This window comes from Homo sapiens, chromosome 15 (genome assembly GCF_000001405.40).
Source record: "Homo sapiens chromosome 15, GRCh38.p14 Primary Assembly".
Taxonomy (NCBI): Eukaryota; Metazoa; Chordata; class Mammalia; order Primates; family Hominidae; genus Homo; species Homo sapiens.
Genome location: NC_000015.10, coordinates 83,616,042 through 83,631,745, shown reverse-complemented (window position 1 = coordinate 83,631,745; position 15,704 = coordinate 83,616,042). Strand labels below are relative to the sequence as shown.

General features: G+C 42.5%; 1 protein-coding gene across 18 annotated transcripts in view, besides 2 other annotated features; it reads right to left on the bottom strand.

Moving 5' to 3' along the window:
- The window catches only part of SH3GL3 (SH3 domain containing GRB2 like 3, endophilin A3), a 186,480-nt gene that overhangs the window by 2,075 nt on the left and 168,701 nt on the right, over positions 1–15,704 (bottom strand). For 16 of the 18 annotated variants that reach the window (NR_136711.2, NR_136712.2, NR_125370.2 and 13 more), the window contains one exon: positions 13,003–13,664. The exons of the other annotated variants lie outside the window; for them this stretch is intronic. Coding sequence is in view for 11 of the 16 variants with exons in the window: in NM_001301109.2 (NP_001288038.1) it covers positions 13,459–13,664 (206 nt within the window). In the remaining 5 variants the exon portion in view is untranslated. Of the gene's footprint in view, positions 1–13,002; positions 13,665–15,704 lie in introns of those variants that run through there. 18 annotated transcript variants of the gene reach the window in all.
- Positions 6,631–6,800: an enhancer, noted in NCBI's record as "experimental_41543 CRE fragment used in MPRA reporter constructs". NCBI's record gives its function as "activates a minimal promoter by MPRAs in K562 erythroleukemia cells, with activity observed for both the introgressed and non-introgressed 15:84293783 variant alleles {active_cell/tissue: K562}" and the evidence as "EXISTENCE:reporter gene assay evidence [ECO:0000049][PMID:34662402]".
- Positions 7,314–7,483: an enhancer, noted in NCBI's record as "experimental_41541 CRE fragment used in MPRA reporter constructs". NCBI's record gives its function as "activates a minimal promoter by MPRAs in K562 erythroleukemia cells, with activity observed for both the introgressed and non-introgressed 15:84293100 variant alleles {active_cell/tissue: K562}" and the evidence as "EXISTENCE:reporter gene assay evidence [ECO:0000049][PMID:34662402]".

Genomic DNA, 15,704 nt, shown 5'->3' with positions numbered 1-15,704 from the left:
GGAGGGAGAAATGGTTTCATGGGCTAGGCCCAGGGCCCCCAACCGGCTCTATGCAGCCTCAGGCCATGATGCCCTGAGTTCCAGCTGCTTCAGCTCCAGCTGTGGCTAAAGGGTGCCAAGGTACAGCTCAGGGTGTTGCTTCAGAGGGTGCAAGCCCCAACCCTTGGTGGCTTACACATGGTGTTGGGCCTGGGGTGCACAGAAGTCAAGAGTTGAGGTTTGGGAGCCTCCACCTAGATTTCAGAGGATGTATGGAAACCCCTGGCTGTCCAGGCAGAAGTATGCTGCAGGGATGGGGCTCTCATGGAGAACCTCTGCTAGGGCAGGGCAGAAGGGAAACATGGAGCTGGAGCCCCCACACAGAGTCCCCACTGAGGCACTGCTTAGTGGAACTGTGAGAAGAGGACCACCATTCTTCAGACTCCAGAATCCACTGACAGCTTGCACCATGCACCTGGAAAAGCTGCAGACACTCAATGCCAACTGTGAAAGTAGCCAGGAGGGGTGCTATACCTGAAAAGCCACAGGGATGGAGCTGCCCAAGGCTGTGGGAGCCCACCTCTTGCATCAGTGTGATTTGGATGTGAGACATGGAATCAAATGAGATCATTTTGGAACTTTGAGGTTTAATGACTGTCCTGTTGGATTTTGGACTTGCATGGGTCCTGTAGCCCCTTTGTTTTGGCCTATTTATCCCATTTGGAACAGGTGTATTTACCCAATGCCTATACCCGTTAGTTACTAGGAAGTAACTAACTTGTTTTTTATTTTGCAGGATCATAGGTGAAAGGGACTTGCCTTGTCTCAGATGAGACTTTGGACTTGGACTTTTGAGTTAATGCTGGAATGCCTTAAGACTTTGGGGGACTGTTGGAAGGGCATGATTGTGTTTTGAGCTGTGAAGACTTGAGATTTGGGAGGGGGCCAGGGGCAGAATGGTATGGTTTGGCTATGTCCCCGCCCAAATCTCATCTTGAATTGTAGTTCCCATACTGCCCACATGTCTTGGGAGGGACCGGGTAGGAGGTAATTGAATCATGGAGGCAGTTACCCTCATGCTGTTCTCATGATGGTGAGTTCTCACAGGATCTGACTTTTTAAAGGGGTTTTATAAGGGGTTTCTCCCTGCTTTGCTCATAGTTCTTCCTGCAGCCATGTGAAGAAGGACATGTTTGCTTCCCCTTCTGCCATGAGTGTAAGTTTCCTGAGGCCTCCCCAGCCCTCAGGAACTGTGAGTCAATTAAACCTCTTTCCTTTATAAATTACCCAGTCTTGGGCAGTAATTTACAGCAGCATGAGAACAGACTAATACAGTCACAGATATGTATTATGAATGTTTTTTAGTCTATCTTTTTATTTTTCTAATGTATCTTTCTTTAGAGGAGCAAAAATGTTTAATTTTAATGAAGTCCAATTGATCAATTTTATCTTTTGGGGTTAGTGCTTTTTATGGCCTAAGAAATTATGAAGATATTTTCCTATTGTATTAGTCCATTCTCACATGCTAATAAAGACATACCTGAGACTGGGCAATTTATAAAGGAAAGAGGTTTAATTGATTCACAGTTCCACATGGCTGGGAAGGCCTCACAATCACGGCGGAACGCAAATCAGGAGCAAAGTCATGTCTTACATGGTGGCAGGCCAGAGTGCATGTGCAGGGGAACTTCTTTTTATAAAACTATCAGATCTTGTGAGACTTATTTACTATCATGTGAAGAGCATGGGAAAGACCCACCCCTACGATTCAATTACCTCTCACTGGGTCCCTCCCATGACATATGGAAATTATGGGAGCTACAGTTTAACATGAGATTTGGCTGGGGACACAGCCAAACCATATCACCTATATTTTCTTCCAAAAGCTTTAAGGTTTTAGCCTGTATGTCTAGGTCTATGGTACTTTATTTATTTATTTATTTATTTAAGACAGAGTCTTGCTCTGGCATCCAGGCTGGAGTGTAGTGTTGTGATTATAGCTCACTGTAGCCTCAAACTCTTGGGCTCAAGTGATCCTCCCACCTAAGCCTCCTAAGTAGCTAGTACTATAGGTGCATGCCACCGTACCTGGATAATTTTTAACTTTTTTGTAGGGATGGGATCTCACTGTATTGGCCAGCCTGGTCTTGAACTCCTGGCCTGAAGTGATCCTCCTGCCTTGGACTCCCAAAGTGCTGGGTTTACAGGGATTAGCCACTGCACCCAGGCTATGATACGTTTTGAAATAATTTTTATGTATGGTGTGAAGTAAAGGTCAAGGTTTATTTTTAGTTTGCAGAAAACAACTTTTATTTCCCCACTGAATTACCTCAGTACCTTTGTTGGAAATAAATTGACCATGCTTTTACATGTAAGTCTATTTCTAGACTCTTTGGTTCCACTGAACTATGTAACATAATGCTAATTCCACAGTGATTTGATGACTCTATTTTACACATCAGATAGTATAAGTTGTCCAACTTTGTTCTTCTCTTTGTTTTGGCTATTCTAGGACTTTTGGATTTCTGTATAATTTTAGAATAAGCTGGTCAATTTTGACAAAAAGCCCTGCTGGGATTTTTATTTGAATTACATTGAATGTATATATCAATTTAGCACGAATGGATAGTTTAACAATATATGGTATAACTCCATTTATTTAGGTCTTTATTTTTTACATACAATGTTTTGTAGTTTTCAGTATAAAAGTCTTGCATATCTTTTGTTAAAATACTTTATAAGTATTTTGTACTTTCTGAAGGCATTGTAAATGGCACTGCTTTTTATAGTTTTAATATTAAATGCTATATTTAATAATTGTTCCTGGTACATAGAAACATAATTGATTTTTGTATGTTGACTTTCTATCCCATGACCTTGGTAAATTTGCTTATAAGTTCTATTAGTTTTTTGGTTGTTTTTTTTTACAGATTCTTGGGATTTTCTACATATTCTCTCTTGTTTTCTGCACATAAACACAGTTTTATTTCTTGCTTTTGTTTTGTTTTGTTTTTGTTTTTGAGACTGAGTCTCGCTCTGTCACCCAGGGTAGAGGGCAGTGAATGGCGTGATCTCAGCTCACTGTAATCTCCACCTCCCAGGTTCAAGCAATTCTCCTGCCTCAGCTTCCTGAGTAGCTGGGATTACAGGCACCTGCCACCACTCATAGCTGATTTTTGTACTTTTAGTAGAAATAGGGTTTCACCATGTTGGCCAGGCTGGTCTCGGACTCCTGACCTCATGTGATCCACCTACGTTGGCCTCCCAAAATGCTGGGATTACAGGTGTGAGCCACCACGCTCAGCCCATTTCTTGCTTTATAGTCATTACTCCATGTATTGCTTTTTCTTGGTTTATCACATTGATGTAAACTTAAAAAGCAGTTATAAAGAATATGTCTTATATATAGTCCTTTTTCCCTTTCATATAGGTGTATTTTGGCCTCTGAAAACTTGAGTCTTCTCTGAAGTGTTATATGTTCCTCATCTTCATTCTCCAGAATTAGAGAAATACCTCTTCCCATTCTTCTAGTTTCTATAAGGAGGGATTTTCTCTAAACATTTCTGGCTAGTTGGATAGGTGGATGGAATTACCTGACTTGTGAGTTGGCTTAGAAACTGGGCATGTGTATCACAGCCCCCTCTCCCACTTAGAAGCTGGGCAGCCTGCAGAAAATGTGTGTTTGAGTGCCCTGAACCCTGTGGTAAGCTCAATGTTATAGGCTCTGTCCCTGTAGCAAGAGGTTGTGGTAGTTCAGCTATTTTTGGAATAGGTAGGTATATCTGATTACTTTGGGGTTCATTTAGTAGATTCTATAGGCCCTCATCCTAAGTAGCATACTATAACTTAACATTTTACAGCTCAGATCATATATTGGCTGTCATTTGTTCTAATCCTTGTTTTATGCCTCAGTTTGTTTCAAACTCAGATGAAAAAGAGGGGTGGCTTTATTGGAACAAGACACTCACAGTCAGTACTTCCCTATTTTATCGCCCAATATTGCCTAAGGCACCATTCTCTGTTTATCTAAAGACTTTTTCTCAATCATGGATGTACCTTAGGATCATTTGGGGGCTTTAAAAACATATCAAGGCCCAAGGCCCTAGCCTATCCCCAGTAAATTCAATCAAAATGTAGGGGTTAGGACCAGACATACCATAAAAAAAAAGTTGTCTAGATTCTAATGAACAGGGAGATCTGAGAACCACTCATCGAAACCATTTAAACTATTCTGCAGTGCTTCTGTCTCTACTTTAGATCCTTGAATAGTTTTTGGGTCACCCTAATTTCCAACACTAGGACATATGAAATACAGCCTTTTTACTAGTTAAGTAGAACATCCCTTTTCTTTTCTTTTTTTTTTTTTTTTTGAGACGGCATCTTGCTCTGTTGCCCAGTCTGGAGTGCAGTGGCGCAATCTCGGCTCACTGCAAACTCTGCCTCCCGGGTTCAACCCATTCTCCGGCCTCAGCCTCCCCAGTAGCTTGGACTACAGGTGCCCGCCACCATGCCCAGCTAATTTTTTGTATTTTTAGTAGAGATGGGGTTTCACCGTGTTAGCCAGGATGGTCTCTGTCTGCTGACCTCGTGATCCGCCCGCCTCGGCCTCCCAAAGTGCTGGGATTACAAGGTGTGAGCCACCGCGCCCAGCCCCTTTTCTTCTTATCTGATAATAAAGTCCACCACATTTCTATAGGTAAAGCTATAATCTGCATCTTCAGGACTGATAAGTATAATTAGTATGTGGGAGAATTAGAGCCACAGAGGGAATGTTGATACGGAAAGGTCATGATATTTCTGGATCAACCTGCCTTAGACCTGGATAAAAATCAGTGTTTATCATCCAGAGGAGAAAAATACCCTAATTGTTGATGGGCCTAACTGACAAAACACAATAGCGGGAGTAAAAATTGCTCAACTTGTATCATGTTTGACAGCTGAACACAGAAGCTATTCCAAAGTGGGCCTTAATGGAAATTACAGAAAGCTGTCAAGGACAAAGAGACAAGTGCCACATGCTAATGTCCAAAAACACATGCCCTAGTCCCACTGTGAGCCTCTACCAAGTGCTACTCTAATCCCTGAATTCCCTCCTACTTCATTGTCAAAGTTTCTGCACAAACATGCCAGTCGTTAACATTTAACAAGGCCCCAATTAAGAACCAACTGAGAAGTAAGGCAAAAGATAAGAAATCTGGAAACCAAAATATCATCTTATTCCTGGAGAAGCCAATACTGGAAAATGTGACTCAGATCTCTAGGCAAAGGGGCTTCTGTATTCTGAAGCTCAGAAACAGGCAGACTTACCTACCCAGTCATAAAAGGCTTCAGACCACCCCTGGCTTGACCCACAGAGCAGAATCTTTATCACTAAAGTCATGGCGTGGTCAGGAGTGATTCAGAACATGAGCTCTGCAGCTAGAGAAGAAGAGGAGAGGAAGTGACTGGCTGGCATGTGATGCTCTTTCTAAACCACTGAATCAGATTGTTACTTCTTGTGCTCTGGGATAGAGTTAGTGGGAGATGGGGAGAAGCAGGAGTCTTGTGGTAGTGGAGCTCTTTAGAAGAAAAATCTGGGACCTCTTAATGGTAAGAAAAAAAGTGAAAGTCACACAGTGTTTAAAAACAAAATATTGGTTGGGTGCGATAGCTCATGCCTGTAATCTCAGCACTTTGGGAGGCCAACACGGGCAGATCACCTGAGGTCAGGAGTTCAAAACCAGCCTGCCAACATGGCGAAACCCCGTCTCTACTAAAAATATAAAAATTAGCTGGGTGTGGTGGTGGGTGCCTGTAATCCCGGCTACTCGGGAGGCTGAGACAGGAGAATCGTTTGAACCCAGGAGGCAGAGGTTGCAGTGGGCCAAGATCATGCCACTGCACTCCAGCCTGGGTGACAGAGCAAGACTCCATCTCAAAAAACAAACAAACAAACAACAACAACAACAACAAAAATTAATTCCAACAGAAATAAGTTTAAAATTTAAGAAAAATACATTTTAAGTGATAGAAATAAAGGCTAAAATTAGTCATTACGTATACCTAAAGAGGAGAAAAAAATGGATAAAATCCCAATAAAATGACTTAAAATAAAAAATAACAGTAGATAAGCTATAAAAATAACATATAAAATTGAAATTTAGGTAGCTAGGTAAAAGAGAACAGAGGGAAAAAATGCTGGAATCAAACTTGGAATGATTATATAACCACAACAGCGAAAGGAAAATTCTAAATTCCTGGGGAAGAATTTGACTGGCCTTCTCTGGTTTGGCTGCATGTCCTTGGTCCAATTAGCTGTGGCCAGTGGGGTAGGGCCACAGTGTACAATGTGGCTGATAGTTTCCCTCTACAGTGGGTAAAGTAGAAGTTACATGCAGGACAGACACTATAAAAAGGTAAATATGACAGAGTGATAAAGTGGTACAGAAATAGCACGGCCTTCAGAGCACAGTTCTGATATTCATCAAGTTGCTTAACATCTCTAAGCCTCAATTTCTTCACCTGCAAATAAAAACATTACAACCTGACTTACAGTGTTAGTAGGAACATTAAACAAGAAAATGCATATAAAGTAAATAACACAGCTTCTCTGGGAATGTGCTGCCTCAGCCTCCCAAGTAGCTGGGAGTACAGGCGTGTGCCACCATGCCCGGCTAATTTTTGTATTTTTAGTAGAGATGGGGTTTCACCATCTTGGCCAGGCTGGTCTTGAACTCCTGACCTCACAATCCACCCGCCTCAGCCTCCCAAAGTGCTAGGATTACAGGCATAAGCCACCGTGCCTGGCCTGGTGCTCTCTTCTTAAGGAAGTGAACATAACAAATCCTTCCTTCAGGTGGAGTGGGAGATGAAAAGCGGCTCCTAAAAGGAACACTTCGGGCCTGAATCACTCCAAGTCCAAAGGTTCCCAGGGTTCCTTGGTCCCAGAGCAATCCCAGAAGTTAGAACAACTGTTGCTTGCACACCACCATGCCTGGCTAATTTTTAACTTTTTTGTAGGGATGGGATCTCACAATGTTGCCCAGCCTGGTCTCAAAGTCCTGGCCTCCCAAGGAGCCTTAACATCCCAGATATTTTATTCCTAGACCCCTGCCCTTGGCTTACCTCTGAAGCAGAGAGGAATCTTTATGTCAAAGGCCCAGTAATTCAGCATCTTAAAACACTAGACCCACTTCACTGTACTTGTCCTCAATCAGTCCCCTGACTCTATGCTCTGACATCTCTTTAATGGTCCTGCTTCTGCCCTCTGCAACTCACCTTGATGTTAATATTTGTCCCCGTTAGCTCGTCTCTTGTTGTTTCTCATATGAATAGGTTTTCATCCCCGCTTCCTGCTCTTTGCGCTTTCACCTGCGTCAAGTAGGATCACACTCTCCCTATCAGCCCCTTGAGCTGAACCCTGGTGTTGCTCATTGGTCAGATCTGTAGCTAGCCCTGCTCGGTGCCGTAGGGGGAGATTTGAATGAAACCCAGTTATACACTGGGGCCAGGCATAGTCTCATTAGGACAGACACTGGGTGAGTCTACTGGGACCCAATCTATTTGCCTCTATAGCAAAACAAGAGAGGAGAATTGAAGAAGAGGGTGCAAAGCTGAGGGATTAGATACCAATTTGAAGCTAAGCAGTGCCCACACTGAGGGTCAAACACATCCGGCAACATATGTAGATTTGGAAGATGTGCCTGTCAGGAGCCTATTTGGCCTGTAATCCCAGCACTTTGGGAGGCCGAGGTGGGCGGATCACCTGAGGTCAGGAGTTCGAGACCAGCCTGGCCAACATGGTGAAACCCCGTCTCCACTAAAAATACAAAAAATTAGCTGGGTGTGGTGGTGGGCACGTGTAATCCCAGCTACTCAGGTGGCTGAGGCAGGAGAATCACTTGAGCCCAGGAAGCGGAGGTTGCAGTGAGCCAAGACTGTGCCATTGCACTCCAGCCTGGGTGACAAGATCAAAACTCCATCTCAAAAAAAAAGCCTATTTGTTTGAGGGACAGGAACCTCAGAAGAAAAGAACATATCCTCAAGGAAGAGGAAGCCAGAGCGATAAGCTTGATGGAAGAATAGCTAATGGCTATTCATATTAGAACTGCAATACATTAATATCCCTACTTCTTTACCCTTTACCATGTAATGCTGAAAAACCCTCCCACTCCGATGCTGGGCCCAGCCTGCGAGATGGTAGCAGGCGCAGCCTGTGAGATGGTAGCAGGCCCAGCCTGTGAGATAGTCAACAGGGACTTGAGAAAGCATTTTGGCCTTTCCACCTGTGCTCCTGCAGCTCTGCCTTCGCCATGAAACCATGCCCAGGCTAGCCTGCTGGAGGGAGAATGTGGAGCAGAACTGAGTCAGCCCAGCCAACCTCCAGACCTGTGCAGCCCCAACCAACAGCCAACTATCCCCCAGTCCCGTGAGTGAGCCCAGCTGAGACCTGAAGAGCTACCCAGACTACATCACCAACTTGCAGACTTGTGAGCTGAGTAAATATGTATTATAGGTTAAGTCACTGATTTGGGGGGTGGCTTTTACACAGCATTATGTGGCAATACATAATTGAAACAGTAGCACGATCTTATGAGAGAAGGGTTAAGGTTTGGTGGTATCTACCTCCATATTCATTTTCTGGTCTAGCTTCTATCTGGACTCACACTTGAAACCTATATTGAGGACATTTTTAAGGCAGAACTGATAGAATTATTTGTTATTAGTCTGGGGGAAATAGCAGAGGATAAACAAACTTGCTTTAGGATCCCATCTCCAGGAAGCAATGCAGGCAGCAGGAGGGGCGTTCTGCACTTCCCAACAGAATATGGTGTCGCTTTGATGGTCAAAGTCTCCATTGCCTCGGGAGAAATGCCCTGTGGGCACCATCAGTCTGTGCCCAACAGAAGGGAGAGGAGGCCAGTAGGAGAGGCGATGCCAGAAGAAGTGATGTGCAAGGGTATAACGGAATTAGGAGTACTAGAGCCAGGTGAAGGGAAGACAGTGGCTACTGCCATGTTGCAACTGGCCCAATTTTTCCCTGAGCATGTGTGAGACACTATCTGGATGCAGACTCTGTAGAGACAACATCCTGCCCTATAGCTGAGGCCACAAGCCAGGGAAGAAACACTGTACATACAAACACTTCCATTTCAACTCACTGCCAGGTCATGATCCTTGCATCTCCTCCTTGGCAGCTATCTGTCAACAGACACAAGTCTCATTTCAATTCCATGTCAGTAATCCGATGTAAATTGCTGAACCTTTTTGTTGTTGTTATCATTAAAGTTGAATCTATAGCTCCCAATAAACTTCACTTACTATGTATTAACCAAACAAGACAGCTAAGCATATTATGGGCATTGAGAATAGTCTGCAGTTCTGATGCCCTTTGGTAAATTCCTAATGTGACATCTAGAGAATGAAAGCTGATGGAGGATGGAAAAGGGCTGCTTTGTGAATATACATGAACAGACACATTGTGGGATGTAGTAAAGCAGAAAAGCAAAGACTGTGGGCATGGGAGGGAGACTGGATTAGAATCCTAGCTCTGCCACTTGATTAACTGTATGACTGTGGACAAGTTACTCAGTGTTATGGCATCTCTGTTCCCTTATCTGAAAAACGGGCATAAGGTCTGCCTCAGAGGATCGTTAATGAGAATTAAATGGGTTTATTCAGGTAAAATGTTTGGAACAGCACCTGGCACATAGTAAGCACACAAGAGTTAGCCATTATTATTATCATTATTTGATTACAGACACTGAATGTAAAACTGTTCTGGAGAAGTGGTGTGTGTGTGTGTGTATAGCTGGCTGGAGGGAAAACATATTGTTGTGAATTTAGTGATGTACCGTGGAATCAGAAGACTGGGGAACCTGGCTTAGGTTACCTGATTTAGGTGATCAGTCTGGCTTCCGGGCATTTGTTACAAAAGTCAGTGATCAGCAGTGCCTTTCCAAGTGACTTGGGTGAACACTTAAGTGTGCAGTGAGGTACAGCAATCTGATTTCAAACTCTGCCTCTGCCACAACAGGGTTACGTCTTTTCATTGCACTTCACAGGTATAGTGATTTTTAGAAAGGTTTGTAAACTCTTCGAAGGTTTGCGGTAACCGTTTTTATCGGCGTTATTTTTTCAACAGCATGTGCTTTCTGTCTCTGTCACACTTTGGTAATTCTTACAATATATTAAACTTTTTCATTATCATATCGGTTATGTTAATCTGTGATCAGTGATCTTTGATGTTACTATTTTAACTGTTTTGGGGCACCACAAACAATGCCTATATAAGATGGTGAACCTGACTGATAAATGTTGTGTGTGTTTTGACTGCTCCACTGCCTGGCCATTCCCCCCTCAGGCTTCCCTATTTCCTGAGATACAACAATATTGAAATTAGGCCAATTAGTAACCCTACAATGGCCTCTAAGTGTTCAAGTGAAAGAAGAGTCACAGGTCTCTCACTTTAAATCAGAAGCTAGAAATGATTAAGCTTAGTGAGGGAGGCTTATTGAAAGCCAGGGTAGGCTGAAAGTTAGGCCTCTTGCCTCAGTTAGCTAAGTCGTGAATGCAAAGAAAAAGTCCTTGAAGGAAATTAAAAGTGCTGCTCCAGTGAATACATGAATGATAAGAAAGTGAAGCAGATTTCTTGCTGATATGAAGAAAGTTTGAGTGGTCTGATGATCAACCAGCTGCATTACCTGAAGCCAAAGCCTAATCCAGAGTTGAGAGAGGTGAGAAAGCTGCATTAAGAAAAGTCTGAGGCTAGCAGGGGTGGGTTCATGAGGTTTAAGAAGCCACCTCCATAACATAAATGTGCAAGGTGAAGCAGCAGGTGCTGATGGAGAAGTAAGTTATCCAGAAGATCTAGCTAAGATTATTGATGAAGCTGGCTAAACTAAACAACAGATTTTCAATGTAAACTATAGCCTTACATGGGAAGATGTCATCTGTGACTTTCCTAGTTAGAGAAGTCAATCTCTGGCTTCAATGCTTCAAAGGACAGATTAACCTGTTAGGCGTTAATACAACTAGTGACTTTAAATTGAAGCCAATGCGCACTGACCATTCCAAAAATTTTAGGGTCCTTAAGAATGATGCTAAATCTGCTCTGCTTGTGCTCTATAAATGGAACAAAGCCTGGATGACAGTATGTCTGTTTATAGCATGGCTTACTAAATATTTTAAGCCTACTGTTGAGATCTACCGTTCAGAGAAAAAGATTCCTTTCACAATATCTCTGCTAACAATGCACCTTGTCATCCAGGAGCTCTGATAGAGATATGCAAGGAGATGAATGTTGTTTTCATGCCTACTAACATAACATCCATTCTTCAGCCCATGGATCAAGAAGTAATTTCTATTTTCAAGTCTATTACTCAAGAAATACATCTTGTAAGGCTACAGCTACCATAACTAGTGATTCTATTGATGGATCTGGGCAAAGTAAAGTGAAAACCTTCTGGAAAGGACTCAGTATTCTAGATGCCTTTAAGAACATTTGTGATTCATGGGAGGAAGTCAAAATATCAACATTAACAGGAGTTTAGAATAAGTTGATTTCAACCCTCTTGGATGACTTTGAAGGGCTTAAGACTTCAGTGGAGAAAGTAATTGCAGATGTGGTGGAAATAACAGGAGAACTAGAATTAGAAGTGGAGACTGAAGATGTGACTGAATTCCTGCAATCTCGTAAAAAAGCTTGAATAGATGAGGAATTGCTTCTTACAGTTGAACAAAGAAAATGATTTCTTGAGATAGAATCTACTCTTGGTGAAGATGCTGTGAACATTATTGTAATGGCAACAAAGGATTTAGAATATTACATAAACTTGATAAAGCAGTGGTAGGATGAGAGGACTGACTCAAATTTTGAAAGAAGTTCTGTGTGTAAAATGCTATCAAGCAGCATTGCATGTGACAGAGAAATCTTTTGTGAAAGGAAGAGTCAACCCATACAGCAAACTTCAGTGTTGTCTTATTTTAAGAAATTGCCACAGACACCCCAACCTTCAGCAACCCCACCCTGATCAGTCAGTGGCTATCAATATCAAGAACTTCCAGCAGCAAAAATATTACCCCTTGCTGAAGGCTCAGATAATCATTAGCATTTTTTAGTAGTAAAGTATTTTAAATTAAGGTGTGTAGTTTGTTTTTTTAAGACATATGCTCCTACCCATTTAATAGACTACAGCATAGTGTAAACACAACTCTTCTTAAGTACCAGGGTACATGTGCAGGATGTGCAGGTTTGTTACATAGGTAAATGTGTGCCATTGTGATTTGCTGCACCTACCAACCCATCGCCTAGGTATTAAGCCCGACACGCATTAGCTATGTTCCTGATGCTCTCCCTCCTCCCCTCCCCCAGCAACAGGCCCCAGTGTGTGTTGTTCCCCTCCTCGTGTCTATGTGTAAGCACAACTTTTCTATACACTGGGAAACCCCCAGAATTTGTGTGACTTGTTTTATTGCAATATTTGCTTTATTGCAGTAAGTAGCCAGGAACAGAACCTGCAATATCTCTGAGGTGTGTCTGTATGTGGTCGTTTGATCCTAGGTAAGTCAGTCAATGAGGCTCCTTCTTTTCAAATGGGAAATAATACCTGCCCCTTCACATAATAGGATTGTAGACTCCAGTGGGCCAAAGCATGTAACTAGTGCGTACTGTAGGCAAGGCCAGGGGCTGGTTCACTGAGCCTAAGAGGATGTTATTGGGGACTCAATCAACTCTTGACCACACTACTTCCTGAGCACCCATAACACAACTTTCTGAAAAACCTATCCAAAATATGGCAGCAGCAGAAGCTTGATTTGGGGTCTTTTATAAATAAACTTGAAGGTAAGTAGAAGGGCTTTCCATCCCCCAGCTGGAAGGAGGATTCGTGTCATGTTTGAATCAGGTGGAAAGCGAAGGCTCCCATCAGGAGGCATCATCTAAGCATCTGCGCTGTGACACTTCGGTTGGCCATGGGGTGTGAGTTTGCAGCTGGAAGACTGTGCTTAAAAATCAACAATTCAACATTAAAAATAACCAAGGCCTTTTGCCAACACAGTGTGTCATGTTTATTGGGCTATTCACAGGTAAGCTTAAAATACAATGAAAAGAAAAGACCAGACGTCATCAGGAATGTCGAGAAACAAAATATTTAGCATTTCTTAGTTTCAAATGTTACCATTTCATTGCAGCTGAGGAATATAGGCCATTCGTTGACATAACTGCAATGGGTGAGACTTATTTTTAGCCACAGGAAGCAAATACATTTAACCAATGACTTTTAGGACAGGAAGCAAAAAAGAAAATATTTTCATGTAGCAAGGACAAGAAAATCATTTATACAAATTAAAGTGATATAAAATACATTATAAAGAGAGCACACATACAAAAGTCATTAAGTTGGTCAGAGAGCAAAGGATGTCACAGAACACCGCACTGAGAGCACACTGGTGTGAATTCATTTCAGTTACGAAAGTATGTCCAGAGTTTGTGTTACACATTTACTGAGGTAAAGGCACGATCACTTCCACGTAATTAATGGGGAAGAATCCCGATTCTCCGTGTATCATTCCTTCATACCAGTTTTCATCTATTTGATTGGTTAATGTAATGATGTCCCCTTCTTTAAATCCTAATTCTCCTTGGTTTTCTGGCTCAAAGTCATAGAGACCACGACAGCAGGGCTGGTCCATGGGAATGTTAGAACCTGTCCACATGATATGGAGACAAAAAGTACAGATGAACATGATGGATTATCCATGGGAAATTGGAAATGTGGAAAAGCTCAGAGAGACCCTTAACAGCAGGCCTTGCTTCCTTCCCACAAGGCCAGCTCCACCCAGCTCACGGTGCCGTTTGTGGTCTCTGGCTGCCTCAGCTCTCCCAGCTGCCTGCGCCAACCCCATGAGCCCAGAGTCTATCTTTTCAATACTCCCAGGCAGAGAAGTCGTGCCCAGCCCATCTCCCAAAAGCAGCCAGTCAGCTCCACCTGGAGCCCTAAGGGAGCGACAGAGGAATCACAGGCCCACCTCCTTCTCTCTGGGAGCTTACAGTTTCTTTGTGGGGATTAGAAAATACACGAGAAACTTTTATTTATTTATTTATCTATTTTTGAGACAGAGTCTTGCTCTGTTGCCCAGGCTGGAGTGCAATGGTGCGATCCTGGCTTACTGTAACCTCTGCCTCCCAGGTTCAAGAAATTTTCGTGCCTCAGCCTCCCAAGCAGCTGGGACTACAGGCATGCGCCACCACGCCCAGCTAATTTTGTATTTTTAGTACAGGTGGGGTTTCACCATATTGGCCAGTCTGGTCTCGAACTCCTGGCCTTAAGTGATCTGCTCACCTCAACCTCCCAAAGTGTGGGGATTACAGGCGTGATCCACTGTGCATGGCCAAAAATCTTTTAAAGAACAAATATGAAGTGTGTATCACTCATGGTTCAGGAGCTCTGGGGAGAGGGTAGTAGGGAGGACCTTGGTGGTCAGCAAGATCTTCCTAGTTAATGGGCAGGACAAGGGCCGGGAGGAGAGAAACCAGGACAAGAAAGGCAAGAATATTTACAGACCAGAATTTACAGACAAGAATATTTACTGACATCTAGTCCCAGAATAACATCAAAAACATTTTTTTCAAAACAAAATCATGCTAATTGTAAACAAAAAATACATGTATGCAAAGTGGAGAAAGAAAAGTCAGAGCTGTAAACCATTACCCCAGAGATAACTGGGCTAGCTTTCAGATTCCAGATGTCTTCATGATTATATTTGTGCATATATTTACATATAGTTGTTTTCATAAAAGATTCTTCTTGTACAAGCTAGGGTGAATATCTTTCAATTTTAGTTACTGACTAGCTGTCAGCTCTCACAATGTAACATTTCTTCAACTAATCTCCTATTGTTGGACATTTACGGTTCTTCTTTCTTTTCCTTCCTTCTCTTCTTTTCATCTCTTCTTTTCCTTCCTTCCTTCATTCTTTTCTTCCTTCTCCCTCCCTGTTTTTCTCGATTTCTCTTCCTTTTTCTTCATTTCTTTCTGTTGTCTCTTTTATTCCCCCTTGGCTTTTATAGACAATTCTTTGGGAAAAAGAGCTTATACATAAATATCTACAAATGTGCACTATTAATTTCTGAGGATAAATTCCAAGAAAAGGATTTCATGGTCATAGAACATGAATTCTTTCTAAAATATCTGACATTTAGTGTCAATTTATTTTTCTATTAGGTTGGTGCAAAAGCAATCACAGTGGCCAGGCGCAGTGGCTCACGCTTGTAATCCCAGCACTTTGGGAGGCTGAGGCGGGCGGATCACGAGTTCAGGAGATCGAGAACACAGTGAAACCCTGTCTCTACTAAAAATACAAAAAAATTAGCCGGGCGTGGTGGCGGGCACCTGTAGTCCCAGCTACTTGGAGAGGCTGAGGCAGGAGAATGGCGTGAACCCGGAAGGCGGAGGTTGCAGTGAGCCAAGATCGCGCCACCGCACTCCAGCCTGGGGGACAGAGCAAGACTCCATCTCAAAAAAAAAAAAAAAAAAAGCAATCACAATTTTTACCATTACTTTTAGTGGCAAAACCTGCAATTACTTTTGCACCAACCTAATATCACTATTTTTCTTAAGATGTTTAGAAGTCCCTTTATACTACACATATTTACCCTTTATCTGTCATTTCTGGTACAAACATTATTCCCAACTTATCATCTGTTCTTTTTTTTTCTCATTTTGTTTTTGAAGTTTGTGCTGGCAG